This window comes from Homo sapiens, chromosome X (assembly GCF_000001405.40).
Source record: "Homo sapiens chromosome X, GRCh38.p14 Primary Assembly".
Taxonomy (NCBI): domain Eukaryota; kingdom Metazoa; phylum Chordata; class Mammalia; order Primates; family Hominidae; genus Homo; species Homo sapiens.
Genome location: NC_000023.11, coordinates 78,018,477 through 78,032,377, shown reverse-complemented (window position 1 = coordinate 78,032,377; position 13,901 = coordinate 78,018,477). Strand labels below are relative to the sequence as shown.

General features: G+C 39.5%; 1 protein-coding gene across 3 annotated transcripts in view; it reads right to left on the bottom strand.

Annotated features, from left to right (window-relative positions):
- Window positions 1-13,901, bottom strand: part of ATP7A (ATPase copper transporting alpha) — a 139,703-nt gene that overhangs the window by 18,018 nt on the left and 107,784 nt on the right. For 2 of the 3 annotated variants that reach the window (NM_000052.7, NM_001282224.2), the window contains 4 exons: window positions 11,980-12,134; window positions 11,299-11,433; window positions 2,934-3,128; window positions 796-978 (listed from right to left, as the gene is read on the bottom strand). In NM_000052.7, the coding sequence (NP_000043.4) occupies window positions 796-978; window positions 2,934-3,128; window positions 11,299-11,433; window positions 11,980-12,134 (668 nt within the window). The remainder of the gene's footprint in view (window positions 1-795; window positions 979-2,933; window positions 3,129-11,298; window positions 11,434-11,979; window positions 12,135-13,901) is intronic. The other variant, NR_104109.2, reaches the window with a different exon arrangement.

Genomic DNA, 13,901 nt, shown 5'->3' with positions numbered 1-13,901 from the left:
TCAAAATTTAACTGCATGCATCCTTTGACTTAGCAATTGCATTGATAGGCATTTAATGTAGAGACAGACTTGCAAAAACTGATAAGGATGTTGAGTATATACTGCAAAAGTCAAAAAAAAACAAACACTCACACTATAGAGTATAATACAGCCATTAAAAACAATGAGGCAGATCTGCATTTCCTGACAGGAAAATTCACTTAATAAAATAAAAAAGCAAGGTAACAAAGATTGATCATTGTATGACCTTTCTGTATAAAGTTTAAAAGATGATAAATACGTATATGTGGCTATATGCATTAAAAACGGTTAACAGATGCACACCTTTATGACTATACTAAAATTATTGAATTGTACACTTTAAAAAGGTGAACTTTATAGTATATGAATTATATCTCAATAAAGCTGTCATTTTAAAAGACTGTTAATAGGTTAACAGTTGTTAAACTTTGGAGAGAGGAATTATGGAAGGGGGCAGGGAATGAGGTTTACAATTTTCATTATGTAATTCTCTGAACTATCTGAATTGTCCTACCACAAATATGTATAACTTCTATTTTAATTTTTTATGTCAACAGGAGTTATCTGTGTGATAGGATTATAGTTCATTTGTTTTCATCTGTATACTTGTCTGTATGAAGAAATAAGTTACATACAATTAAATGAGAAAATACAAGTCTTTTTAGCCTCATACCAACTATATATGCAAATCACAGTCAAACACCAGACTAGATTTGATCCGGGGAATTCCTACAGGAGATGACTACACTAATAAACAAGAGGAAAAAAATGTACCTGTTTGCAATATTTGGTTATGGCTGTTCCTAGAGGGTGTTCACTGTTACTTTCAGCAGTTCCCACAATGGCCAAGATTTTATGGTGTGATATTCTGTTACTTTCAGTTAGAACCTTTACTTGATTCACCACTGGGGTTCCGTGAGTAATGGTTCCAGTCTTATCAAATACCACTACCTTTACCTGTAAAAAAATTAAGATACAATGACTTGATGATCCTCCACATCACCTTTCCAGAAATAAGAAAAAGGTCTGTTTTGACAAAGAGATGACTATTTAGTTTCTTAGTAAACTGACCTTTGACTTAATTTGACTTAAAAAACTGATGGTCTTCGGGAAAATAAAAGAAGAAATACTCTTAGTTATACACAACAGCTCTCCTCTGCCAATGCTGAACTGTTTGTTCATGCTAAATAACTGTGAATATATGTTAAACAACTAGAGCTAATTTTTAAGGGTTGACTGTTAATAGGTAATTAAGAGACGCCTCTAGTGCCTCAAGGTAAAAAAGAAAGGCTTTCAATATAATGAATTATAGATCTGATGAGGAAATCTAAGCAGTAGGGAAATGATTATAAGAATAAAGGTAAATGGCCAGGTGCGGTGGCTCAAGCCTATAATCCCAGCACTTTCAGAGACTGAGGTGTATGGATCACCTGAGGTCAGGAGATCGAGACCAGCCTGGCCAACATGGTGAAACCCCGTCTCTACTAATAATAAAAAGTTAGCTGGGCATGGTGGTGCATGCCTGTAATCCCAGCTACTCGGGAGGCTGAGGCAGGAGAATCGCTGGAACTTGGTGGGTGGAGGTTGCAGTGAGCCGAGATCGCACCACTGCACTCCAGCCTGGGCCATAGAGCGAGACTTCATCTCAAAAAAAAAAAAAAAGAAAGAAAGAAAGAAAAGAAAAATAAACCAACAAAGTATGATTCTGGACAGGGGAAAAATAGCTATAAAGCACATTATTGAGACAACTGAGGAAACTGGAACATGGACTACAGATCAGATAACAACATATCAATATTAATTTATTGATTTTGATAGTTGTACTACAGTTTACATAAGAGAATGTCCTTATTCTTAGGAAAAGAGCCCAACGACTGCAGTAAAGGGCATATAGGAGTTCTTTGTACTAGTCTTGCAACATTTTTTTTTTTTTTTGAGATGGAGTCTTGCTCAGTCGCCCAAGCTGGAGTGCAGTGGCGCGATCCCAGCTCACTGCAACCCCTGCCCTCCGGGCTCAAGCGATTCTCCTGCCTCAGTCTCCTGAGTAGTTGGGATTACAGGTGTGCCAACTCGCCCAGCTAATTTTTGTATTTTTAGTAGAGACGGGGTTTCACCATGTTGGTCAGGCTGGTCTCAAACTCCTGACCTCGTGGTCCGCCTGCCTCAGCCTCCCAAAGTGCTGGGATTACAGGCGTGAGCCACTGTGCCAGGCTAGTCTTGCGACTTTTAAGTTTGAAATTATATCAAAGTTTAAAATGTCTATAAAAATTACTAGCCTGTATTCTCTGGCGAGGTGAGTTTCCAGATTTGTTCTAAGATATGTTCTATGTTTACTATATACCTCTGTACATAGCTTACATCCTCATAATAAGAACATACTAGTAGAAACATGGTTTTAGTTGAAGTCAAGTAGCTTTGAGATGATTATGGAAATCCTAATATGAGATCAGAGATAGGATTATATTCCTAAAGTCATAGCTGCAAACTGTCGGCTGGTGGCAGCAAAGGCAAAGAAACGGCACTGCAATTGAAGGTCCCAGTGAAGAAAACAAGTCACACACAAATAGGTTAGAAGGCTGCTGGAGTTTGGCAAATTTTCCTGGGCAAACACCTATTCTGTCTTTCTGCCACAAAGACTAGTCTAGTCTGAGCTAGGATAGGAGTCCAGGTTTTCCACATTAGGGTCTGCTCTAATAAATAGGCCTGGAGTAGTTTTAGGAATCTTAGGTAACAAAGGCCAATCTGAAGCAGAACCAAAATAACACCTTTCCTACCTCAAATCTCTGGATAGTCCTAGAAGCAGCTCAGCTCATGGACCACAGAGAAATAATTTAGGAGTATGTGTTTCTCACATGTGAGGGGTGCTATTGATAGTTTGGTGGTACAGGTTTTAGTTCTGGGGACTGTCTTACCTTATGAGCCATCTCCAATGGCTCTCCACCTTTTATTAGTATGCCATTTTGAGCACCTACTCCTGTACCCACCATCACAGCAGTTGGAGTGGCCAGTCCCAGTGAACAGGGACATGCAATACACAGAACTGTGATAGAGGCTTGGAAAGCAAATCGTATTATCGTTTCTGTTCGGGAGATACTTCTATTGTAGCCCTTTAGAAGAAAGGCATAAATTTTGGTTATTGATTTAGAGCTGTACAAAACAAAAGACACAAAACTTAACACTATTTAAATAAAACCACAATTTAAAAAGTGACATATCCTACCTAGCTACCTACATATATTTTTTAGTTACAGGTAAGAAAACACTTTCTTTCTTTTATGAATATAAGAAATTGGGACATACTGAGATTCCAGAATTACAAACTATGGACTGAATATAAGTGCTCCATATTGAGAATGAATGTTTTTATTAGAAATTTTCAGAAATAGCTGCAAATGTGAGACATAATTTTCAAAAAATTTGATACTGAATAAACAGAATTCTCAATCTCTGTAGAGTAAAACCATAATTCTGCCTTTCACACTATTCTTGAAAGACAATGAAAAAGAATCACATGGCATGCAAAGGGACCTTAGTCATATTTCAACAAAATCCTTTTGGACATAACAATGTGAACCAAGTATATCTGCTAATTAAGCTCTTAGTGACGTTCAGTGTTTGCTCATGTGGGAAAAATATAATTGGTAGTTTTAGAAGAAATCTAAGACATCCTGAACTCATGAGAAAAATTCCTGAAGGAAACACATTCCAAGCTACTTGCTGGTCTGTGCACGGGCTCACATCTGTAATCCCAGTACTTTTGGAGGCTAAGGCAGGAGGATCATTTGAGGCCAGGAGTTTGAGACCACCCTGGGCAACATGGTAAGACCTCATCTCTACAAAAAAAATTTGTGAAAAATTAGCCAGGTATGGCCGGGCACAGTGGCTCACGCCTGTAATCCCAGCACTTTGGGAGGCCAAGGCAGGTGGATCACCTGAGGTCAGGAGTCCGAGACCTGCCTGGCCAACATGGTGAAACCCCGTCTCTATTAAAAATGCAAAAATTAGCTGGGCATGGTGGCACATGCCTGTAATCCCAGCTACTTGGGAGGCTGAGGCACAAGAATTGCTTGAACCTGGAAGGCAGAGGTTGCAGTGAGCCGAGATCATGCCATTGCACTCCAGCCTGGGTGACAAGAGCGAAACTCGGTCTCAAAAAAAAAAAAAAAATTAGCCAGGGATGGTGGTGCATGCCTGCAGTTGCAGCTACTCGGGAGGCTAAGGTAAGAGAATCGCTTAAGCCCAGAAGTTTGAGGCTGCAGTGAGCCATGATTGCACCACTGCATTCCTGCCTGGGCAACAGAGCGAGACCCTGTCTCAAAAATAAATAAATAAATAAATAAATAAATAAATAAATAAATAAATACCAAAAAAACTTCCCAACAATCCTTTTGTTCAGTGTGTACTAAACAGACATGAATCACTTAAAGAAACTTTTTAATATTACAGTAGTGGGCTGGACACAGTGGCTCATGTCTGTAATCCCATATAATAATATCATATATTGAATAGGGTGTCCTTTCCCCATTGCTTGTTTTGGTCAACTTTGTTGAAGATCAGTTGGTTGTAGGTGTGTGGTTTTATTTCTGGGTTCTCTATTTTGTTCAATTGATCTACATGTCTATTTTTGTATCAATACCATGCTTTTGATTACTATAGCCTTGCAGTATAATTTGAAGTCAGGTAATGTGATGCCTCTAGTTTTATTCTTTTTGCTTAGGATGGCTTTGGCTATTTAGGTTCTTTTTCCATATGAATTTTAGGATTGCTTTTTTAATTCTGTGACAGAGGACATTAGTTTTATAGGAATTGTGTTGAATCTATAGATTGCTTTGGACAGTATGGTAGTTTTAATATTAATGCTTCCAATCCATGGGCATGGAATGTTTTTCCATTTGTTTGTGTCTTCTTCAGTTTCTTTCATCAGTGTTTTATGCTTCTCTCTGTAGAGATCTTTCACCTCCTTGGTTAAATGTATTCCTAGGTATGTTTTGTGTGTGATTATTGTAAATGGGATTGAGTTCTTGATTTAGTTCTCGAGTTGGACGTTGCTGGTGTATAGAAATGCTAATAATTTTTGCATGTTGATTTTATACCCTGAAACTTTACTGAAGTAGTTTATCTGGTCTGGGAGTCTTTTGGAGAAATCTTTATGGTTTTCTAGGTATAGAATCATGTCATCAGGAACAGAGATTTTTTTTTTTTTTTTGAGACGGAGTTTTGTTCTTGTTGCCCAGGCGGCAGTTCAATGGCGTGATCTAGGCTCAGTGAAACCTACACCTCCTGGGTTCGAGCAATTCTCTTCCCTCAGTCTCGCAAGTAGCTGGGATTACAGGTGCGTGCCACCATGCCTGGCTAATTTTTGTATTTTTTAGTAGAGATAGGGTTTCACCATGTTGGCCAGGCTGGTCTTGAACTCCCAACCTCAGGGGATCCACCCGCCTCGGCCTCCCAAAGTGCTGGGATTACAGGCATGAGCCACCGCGCCCGGCCGAAATGCATTAACTTCATTGTTTACCCAAAAGTTATTCAGGAGTTGGTTGTTTAGTCTCCCTGTACTTGTGTGGCTTTTAGAGTTCCTCTTGGTATTGATTTCTAATTTTATTCCACTGGAGTCTAGGAAGACGCTTGATCTGATCTAGTTGTTTTTTAATTTATTGAGACTTGCTTTATGATCAAGCCGATGATCAATGTTAGGGAATGTACCATGTTCATATGAGAAGAATATATACTCTGTGGTTATTGAGTGGAGTATTCCGTAGATATCTATTAGGGCCATTTGGTTGAGAATCCAATTTAAGTGCAGAGTTTCTTTGCTAATTTTTGTCCTTGATGATCTCTCTAGTGCTGTCAGTGGGGTACTGAAGTCCTCCACTATTATTGTATGGCAGTCTACCTCTTTTTGTAGGTCTAGCAGTATTTGTTTTATAAATCTGGATGCTCCAATGTTGGGTGCATATGTATTTAAGATAGTTAAATCTTCTTGTTGAATTGAGATCTTTATCATTTTGTAGTGCCCTTCTTTGCCTTTTTTTAAAACTATTGTTGATTTAAACTCTGTTTTATGTAATACAAGAATAGCAACCCCTGCTCTTTGTTTTCCATTTGCATGATAGATCTTTCTCCATCCCTTCACCTTCAACCTATGAGTTATTACCTTTGAGATGGGTCTCTTGATGACAGCAAAAGGATGGATCTTGTTTTTTTATTCCAATTTGCCACTCTATGTCTTTTAAGTGGAGTATTTAGGCCATTTACATTCAAGTTTAATATTGATATATGAGTTTTTGTTCCTTATGGTAGTGTTTGCTAGTTTCTTTGTAGTCTCAATTGTGTAATTGCTTTATAGGGTCTGTGAGCTTTGTATTTATATATGTTTTTGTGGTAGCAAGTATCATTCTTTTGTTTCCATGTTCAGAACTTCTCTGAACATTTCTTATAGCTCTGGTCTGGTGGTGATGAATTTCCTTACTGTTTGCTTGTCTGAGGAAGACTTTGTTTCTACTTCATGTATGAAGCTTAATTTGGCAGGATATGAAATTCCTGGTTGCCAGTTTTTTTTTTCTTTAGGGAAACTAAAAATAGGCTCTCAATCACTTCCAGCTTGTAACATTTCCACTGAGAAGTCTGCTGTTAGCCTGATGGGTTTTGCTCTGTAGGTAATTTGGCCCTTTTCTGTAGCTGCCTTTAAGATATTTTTCTTTTGCATTGACTTTGGATATTCTAATGCCTGTGTGCCCTGAGGATGGTCATCTTGTATAGTGTCTTGCAGGAGTTCTCTGGATTTGAAATTTCTTTACTGAATTTTTCAGTTCCAGCAGTTCCATTTGTTTTTTTTCTTAATATGGCTACCTCGTCTTGCATATCCTGAATCGTTTTTCTGGTTTCTTTACATTGGATTCCAACTTTCATTTGGATCTCATTGAGGTTTCCTTGCAATCCATATTTTAAATTACTTATCTGTCTGCTTAGGATCCGTTGCTAGAGAGCTATTACAATCGTTTGGCGGTGTGAAAACACTTTTTGTACTGCTAGAGTTCTTGCACTGATTCTTTCCCATCCAAGGGAACTTTTGCTTCCTGTTTTTGAATTTGCTATCATTTCCAAGGGACGTTTTCTTTCCTTCTTTTTTTTCCCTTGGGTGCTTTACTGTGGTGCATGTTGTGTGTGATCATTTAGCTTTGTTTTTGGTGCTTTCAGGGGTCCAAGGTGCTGTACAGATTACTTGGTTGTGGATAGCTTCTATGCCATAGCTTTCTCAGATGCTGCTTTTTGTAGTGAGGTATTAGCCATTAGAGCTAACAATCTCCTATAGGGTTTAGGGTGCAGAGGTCCCTGTGGACTTATCTTAAGGGCTAGAACTAAGCCCTTCTGTTAGCAGATTTTAAATTTTATGATGCAGTTCAGGATACACACCAGTAGATGGCACTCAAGAGTAAGAGACAGCAGGTAGGTTGGTGCCAGGTAGAAGCACCTGCCCTGATGCAGGGGTGGTGGGAAGAGATTATATTAGGGTGCACTCGCACTCCTGATCCTGTGCCAGCAAGAACATGATCAGCTTCTCTTTTGTGCCCTTGTTATAGGGCTCCTGACCTTCATTTCATAAGGACTTTGTCCTTTGGTTCCCATGAGTATGCCCCTCTGATAGCTACCACTAAAATGGGTTTGGGTTAGTCTTTTCCCCCAGACCAAAGCAGGCAACTCAGTGATTTGTCTGTCCCTCCTTGCTGGGACAGTGCCACTCTGTCGGGAGAGGGAGTTGAGCCTCGCCCTTGGAAAAAACCCAAGCGGCACGTGACTCACTTGCAGTAGGGGTGGAGCCACCATGAAAAGCATGAAATATGCTTTGTCCAAGTGTGCGCTAGCTGGCCCCTGGTGGGAAATAGCACTGCTGCATCCGCAGCACTGTAGGTGTGGGGGAAGGGTGTGGCAGGAGATGATCTTCTCTCCATGTCTAACCCTAATCCTATCTACCATACTGTCCAAAGCAATCTATAGATTCAACACAATTCCTATAAAACTACTAATGTTCTCTGTCACAGAATTTAAAAAGCAATCCTAAATTTCATATGGAAAAAGAACCTAAATAGCCGAAGCAATCCTAAGCAAAAAGAATAAAACTAGAGGCATCACATTACCCGACTTCAAATTATACTAAAAGACTATAGTAATCAAAACAGCGTGGTATTGATACAAAAATAGACACGTAGATCAACTGAACAAAATAGAGAACCCAGAAATAAAGCCCACACCTACAACCAACTGGTCTTCAACAAAGTTGACAAAAACAAACAATGGGGAAAGGACACCCTATTCAATATATGGTGCTGGGAAAACTAGCTAGCCATATGCAGAAGAATGAAACTGGACTCATATCTCTCACCATATAAAAAAATTAACTCAGGATAGATTGAAGACTTAGATGTAAAACCTCAAACTATAAAAACCCCAAGAAAACCTGGGAAAAACTCTTCTAGACATTATCCTAGGGAAAGAATTTATGACTAAGACCTCAAAAACAATTGCAACAAAACCAAAAATTAATAAAGGAGATTTAATTAAACGAAAGAGCTTCTGCACAACAAAAGAAACAATCAACAGAATAAACACAGAACCTACAGAATGGGAGAAAATATTTGCAAAGTATGCATCCAACAAAGGACTAATATCTAGACTCTATATGAAACTTAAATCAACAAGGATAAAACAACCCTATTTAAAAGTGGGCAAAGGGCATAAATAGACACCTCTCAAAAGAAGACATACAAGTGATAAAAAAAAACACATGAAAAAATACTCAACATCACTAATCATCAGGGAAATGCAACTTAAAACCACAATGAAATACCCCTTCACACCAGTCAGAATGGCTATAATTAAAAAAATCAAAAAATAACAGATGTTGGCAACGATGCAGAGAAAAGGGAACACTTATATACTGTTGGTGGGAATGTAAATCAGTTCAACCTCTACGGAAAACAGTCTGGAGATTTCTCCAAGAACTTAAAATATAACTACCATTTAACCCAGCAATCCCACTACTGGATATCTACCCAAAGGATTTTCTTATATTTATTTTAAATTGTTTTATCAAAAGACAACTGCATGTGTGTGTTTATCACAGCACTCTTCACAATAGCAAAGACATGGAGTCACCCAGGTGCCCATCAATGGTGGACTGGATAAAGGAAATGTAGTACATATACACCATGGAATACTATGCAGCCATAAAAAAAGAAATCATGTCCTTTGAGTAGCATAGGTGAAGCTGGAGGCCATTATCCTAAGTGAGTTAACGTAGGGACAGAAAATCAAATACTACATGTTCTCACTTATAAGCAGGAGCTAAACAATGGCTACACATGGACATAAAGATGAAATCAATGAGCAGTGGGGCCTCCAAAAGGTGAGAAGAAGGGAGGGGGGCAAGGGATGAAAAACTACTTATTGAGTACTATGTTCACTGTTTGGGAGATGGGGTCACTATAAGCCTAAACCCCAGCATCACCCAATATACCCATGTAATAAACAATATATCCACGGGCCGGGCACAGTGGCTCATGCCTGTTATCCCAGCACTTTGGGAGGCCGAGGCAGGTGGATCACCTGAGGTCAGGAATTTGAGACCAGCCTGACCAACATGGCGAAACCCCATCTCTACTAAAAATACAAAAATTAGCCGGGCATGGTGACATAAGCCTGTAATCCCCGCTACTCAGGAGGCTGAGGCATGAGAATCACTTGAACCTGGGAGGTGGAAGTTGCAGTGAGCCGAGATCGTGCCACTGCACTCCAGCCTGGGCAACAGAGCAAGACTCTGTCGCAATAAATAAATAAATAAATAAATAAATAAACAAACAAACAAACAAACATGCACATGTACCTCCTGAATAAAAAATAAAATAAATAAATACAACAAAGTAAGACTTTATTTACTTTGAGTAGGAGTCTCGCTCTGTTGCCCAGGCTGGAGTACATTAGTGCCATCATGGCTCACTGCAGCTCTTATCAGTAACAGTTTTACAGTGTTAGGTTAAGTTCTCAAATACTTAAATATTCATCCAAGAATTATAGATCTATATAGAAACACAGCTGGAAGGGGCTTTCATAGATTTCTAGGCTTATGCTTCCATAAACTTCACATATGTATACATGTTGTTATAGAAAAAGAACAGATTCTTGTCACACGACCAGGAAAAGATTAGGTCTGCAGACACTTTGAAGGGCGAGGGGAAAGGAATTTATTGGCCAAAAAGGAAAAAGGAAAAACAACTCAACAAAATGAGATTGAGTCCTGTTAACAGGCTCTCCACCTCACCGACTGAACCCCAGGTACCACCCAGGAACAGGTCAGTCCAGACTCCTTCCCTATACAAACGGGGTGAACTTCCAGGGGCCCCACCCCATCCTCCCAGTGCGTAGGTGGACATTATTTAGAAAGAATCAGTCGGGGGTAGGGGAGTAGGGCAGGCTTCATCTGGGACCAGCAGTCCGGTTTTTCAACCTTCAGGATGTTTTAGGCTTGAAAGTTTTCAACCTTCAGGGGTTTCGCAGGGGGACCCTTGGCTGTCACCTGCATCTGTCAATATGTTAGATGCTTTCACCTATACTAATTCCAATCCTGTATCTTAGGTACTATTTTCCCTATTTTACAGATAAGAGAACTGAGGATAGTAAAACTTACATGACTTAAAGTTTATATATCTAATTTGAGGCACAGTCCAGTTCTGCTTTACCACTTTACAACACCATAGACAGCATCAGAGAACTAGATGAGTAGACACTAATAATATCTTATATTTGTAAAGCATTTAATAAGTTACAAATTATTTCTAATATATTATTTAACCTTCACAACAACCTTAAGTTACACAAAATGGGTATTATTAAAACCTCACTTTATAGTTGAGGAAACTGAAGCTCAGAGAGCAATTAAGTAGTCTAAGATCATATTGACAGTAAATGACAGAGCTGAAATCCTGAGGTTTTCCTCAATATATCTATAGTCCTCTGTGAAAGCAAAACCATGTCAGAAATGAGACTAAGCATAACATGTAAAAGTTTGGTATTTGCTTTTGGAAAATCACCAGTCATAATAAAATTTTTTTTCCAAAAGGAAATTTTTTATATTTATAAAAATGCAAATATTATTCTTATCACTCTCCCACTCCAAACCTTTAAAGATCCTGGTAATTATTAAAGTTATTTCCAATGAATTACTAATGCAAAAGACTCACAAATTGTTCTGCATATAGTAACGAGTTATTACAAGTCACTTACAGGAAAGTAGGTTTCCACAATTTCAAAATTCAGAAATCCAATTACAATCCATACCAAGAGGGTGGCAATGGAAACAAAAACAATAAAAGGAACAAAATAGCCACTGAGTTTGTCTGCAAACTGCTGGATAGGAGCCTAGAATTAAAAATAACAACAATAATAAGAAGAAGAAGCATATCAAAGTCTTTTCTGATACTGAATGCAGAGTATATTTAGTAGTTAGCACAAATAGAAATATTTTAACAAACTTCATGTTAATGGCCAGGTGTGGTGGCTCACACCTGTAATCCCAACACTTTGAGAGACTAAGGCAGGATGATAGCTTGAGTCCAGGAGTTCGAGACCATCCTGGGCAACTTAGGGAGACCCTGTTTCTATAAAAAAAAATTTTTTTAATTAGCTGGGTGTGGTGGCATGTGCCCACACACAGTCCCAGCTACTCGGGAGGCTGAGGCAGAAGGATCGCTTGAACTTAGGAGGTCAAGGGTGCAGTGAGCCATGATGGTGCCACTGCACTCCAGCCTGTGCAACAGAGTGAGACCCTATCTCAAAACAAAAACAAACGAACTCCATATTAATGCAACTAAAATTTTTATTGGAAAACGTAAAAACTAGGTGAAGATTTATACTGAGAAGGCTTTAAAGAAAATAGTTTGTGTTTCTCCTAGGGAGTTAAGTTACCTTTGATGTTTGTGCCTCTTCCACAAGTTTGACAATTTGAGAAAGGGTTGTGTCTGCTCCAACATGTGTTGCGCAGATAAGCAGTGACCCGTTCTGGTTAATGGAACCAGCAATCACTGTGCTGCCAGGTTTCTTAGCCACAGGCATTGCCTCCCCTGTATGGAGAGTAAAGATAGATTTAAGGAGCATAAATGATCACTATCATGAAACATATCATTATTTGTTACTTGTCAAAAATATCTAGATATAAAATAGAATCTGAACAAATGCCTAGGTGAAAGTTGCTTTCCCTTTTTCCTTATATCAGTTCTAGGCCAATGCCAGGAATATAAACCTTGAACTGGAAAAACCTGTATGGTAGCTCTTGTTGGCAGATACTTTTAGAGTTTCACCCTAGTCCTAGAACATTGGTTCTTAACCTGTTCTCAAGGAACATTTAGAAATGTGGGAGGGAGTTTTCGTTTGTAATAATGACTGCACGGGATGGGGAAGGGGGTGCTACTACTTCGATTTAGTGTGCCAGTGCCAGGGTCAGGGGCACTGAATTGTACTACAGTATGTAAGAGAGTCCCCGAGAACTAAGAATTGCCCCATCCAAACTGGCAATAGCACCCCTATTGAGAAACACACAGTCTTGTTGGGCACAGCGGCTCATGCCTGTAATCCTAGCACTTTGGGAGGCTGAGGCAGACAGATGGCTTGAGCTCAGGAGTTCGAGACTGGGCAACATGGCAAAACTCGATCTCTACAAAAAAATACAAAAGTTAGCCAGGCATGGTGGCATGCGCCTGTAGTCCCAGGTACGTGGGAGGCTGAGGTGGGAGGATTGTTTGAGCCTGGGAGGCAGAGGTTGCCATGAGTCAAGATTGTGCCATTGCACTCCAGCTTGGGTGACAGGGTAAGACCTTGTCTCAACAACAACAACAACAAAAAAACAAAAAAGAAAGAAAGAAAGAAACACACAGTCCTAAATTATTTCCACATGGTTCATAAACTGAGCTTCTTCTAGGACTATCAGAGAGTTGAGATTGGAAAGGTATCATTTTGATTCTGCCTCAGATTGGCCTTAGTTACCTAAAATTTCTAAAACTATGCCAGGCCTATTCCCTTAGAGTAGACCCTGATGTGGAAAACCTGGACTCGTGTCATAGCTCAGATTAGACCAGTCTTTACAGCAGGAAGGGCAGAATAGGTATTTGCCCAGGAAAATTTGCCAAAGTCCATCAAGTCTACAGGAAACTGAGACAACTTCCTTTGGTTATGCATTCTAGCAGCTAATAATCTCCAGTGATAAAAGTCTTCAATAGTTGATACGGTTTGGCTCTGTGTCCCCACCCAAGTTTCATCTCTAATTGTAATCCCCACATGTTGAGGGAGGGACCTATAATCCCCACATGCCAAGGGAGGGAGGTGATTGAGTCATGTGGGGGCATTTCCCCTATGCTGTTCTTGTGATGAGTGAGTTTTCACGAGATCTGATGGTTTTATAAGTGTCTGGCATTTCCCCTGCTGGCACTTCTCTCTACTGTTGCCTTATGAAGAAGGTCCTTGCCCCCTTCACCTTCTGCCAAGATTTTAAGTTTCCTGAGGCCTTCCCAGTCATGCAGAACTGTGAATCAATTAAATCTCCTTCCTTCATAAATTACCCAGCGTTGGGTATGTCTTTAGAGCAGTGTGAAAACTGACTAATGTAGTAAATTGAGTAAGTTGTTACCACAGGGAGTAGGACACTGCTATAAAGATACTTGAAAATGCGGAAGCGACTTTGGAACTGGGTAATGGGCAGAGGCTGGAACAGTTTGGAGGGCTCAGAAAAAGACAGGAAAATGTGGGAAAGTTTGGAACTTCATAGAAATCTGTTGAATGGTGTTAGGTTTTTTTGTTTTTTGTTTTTGTAACAGAGTTTCGCACTTCTTGCCCAG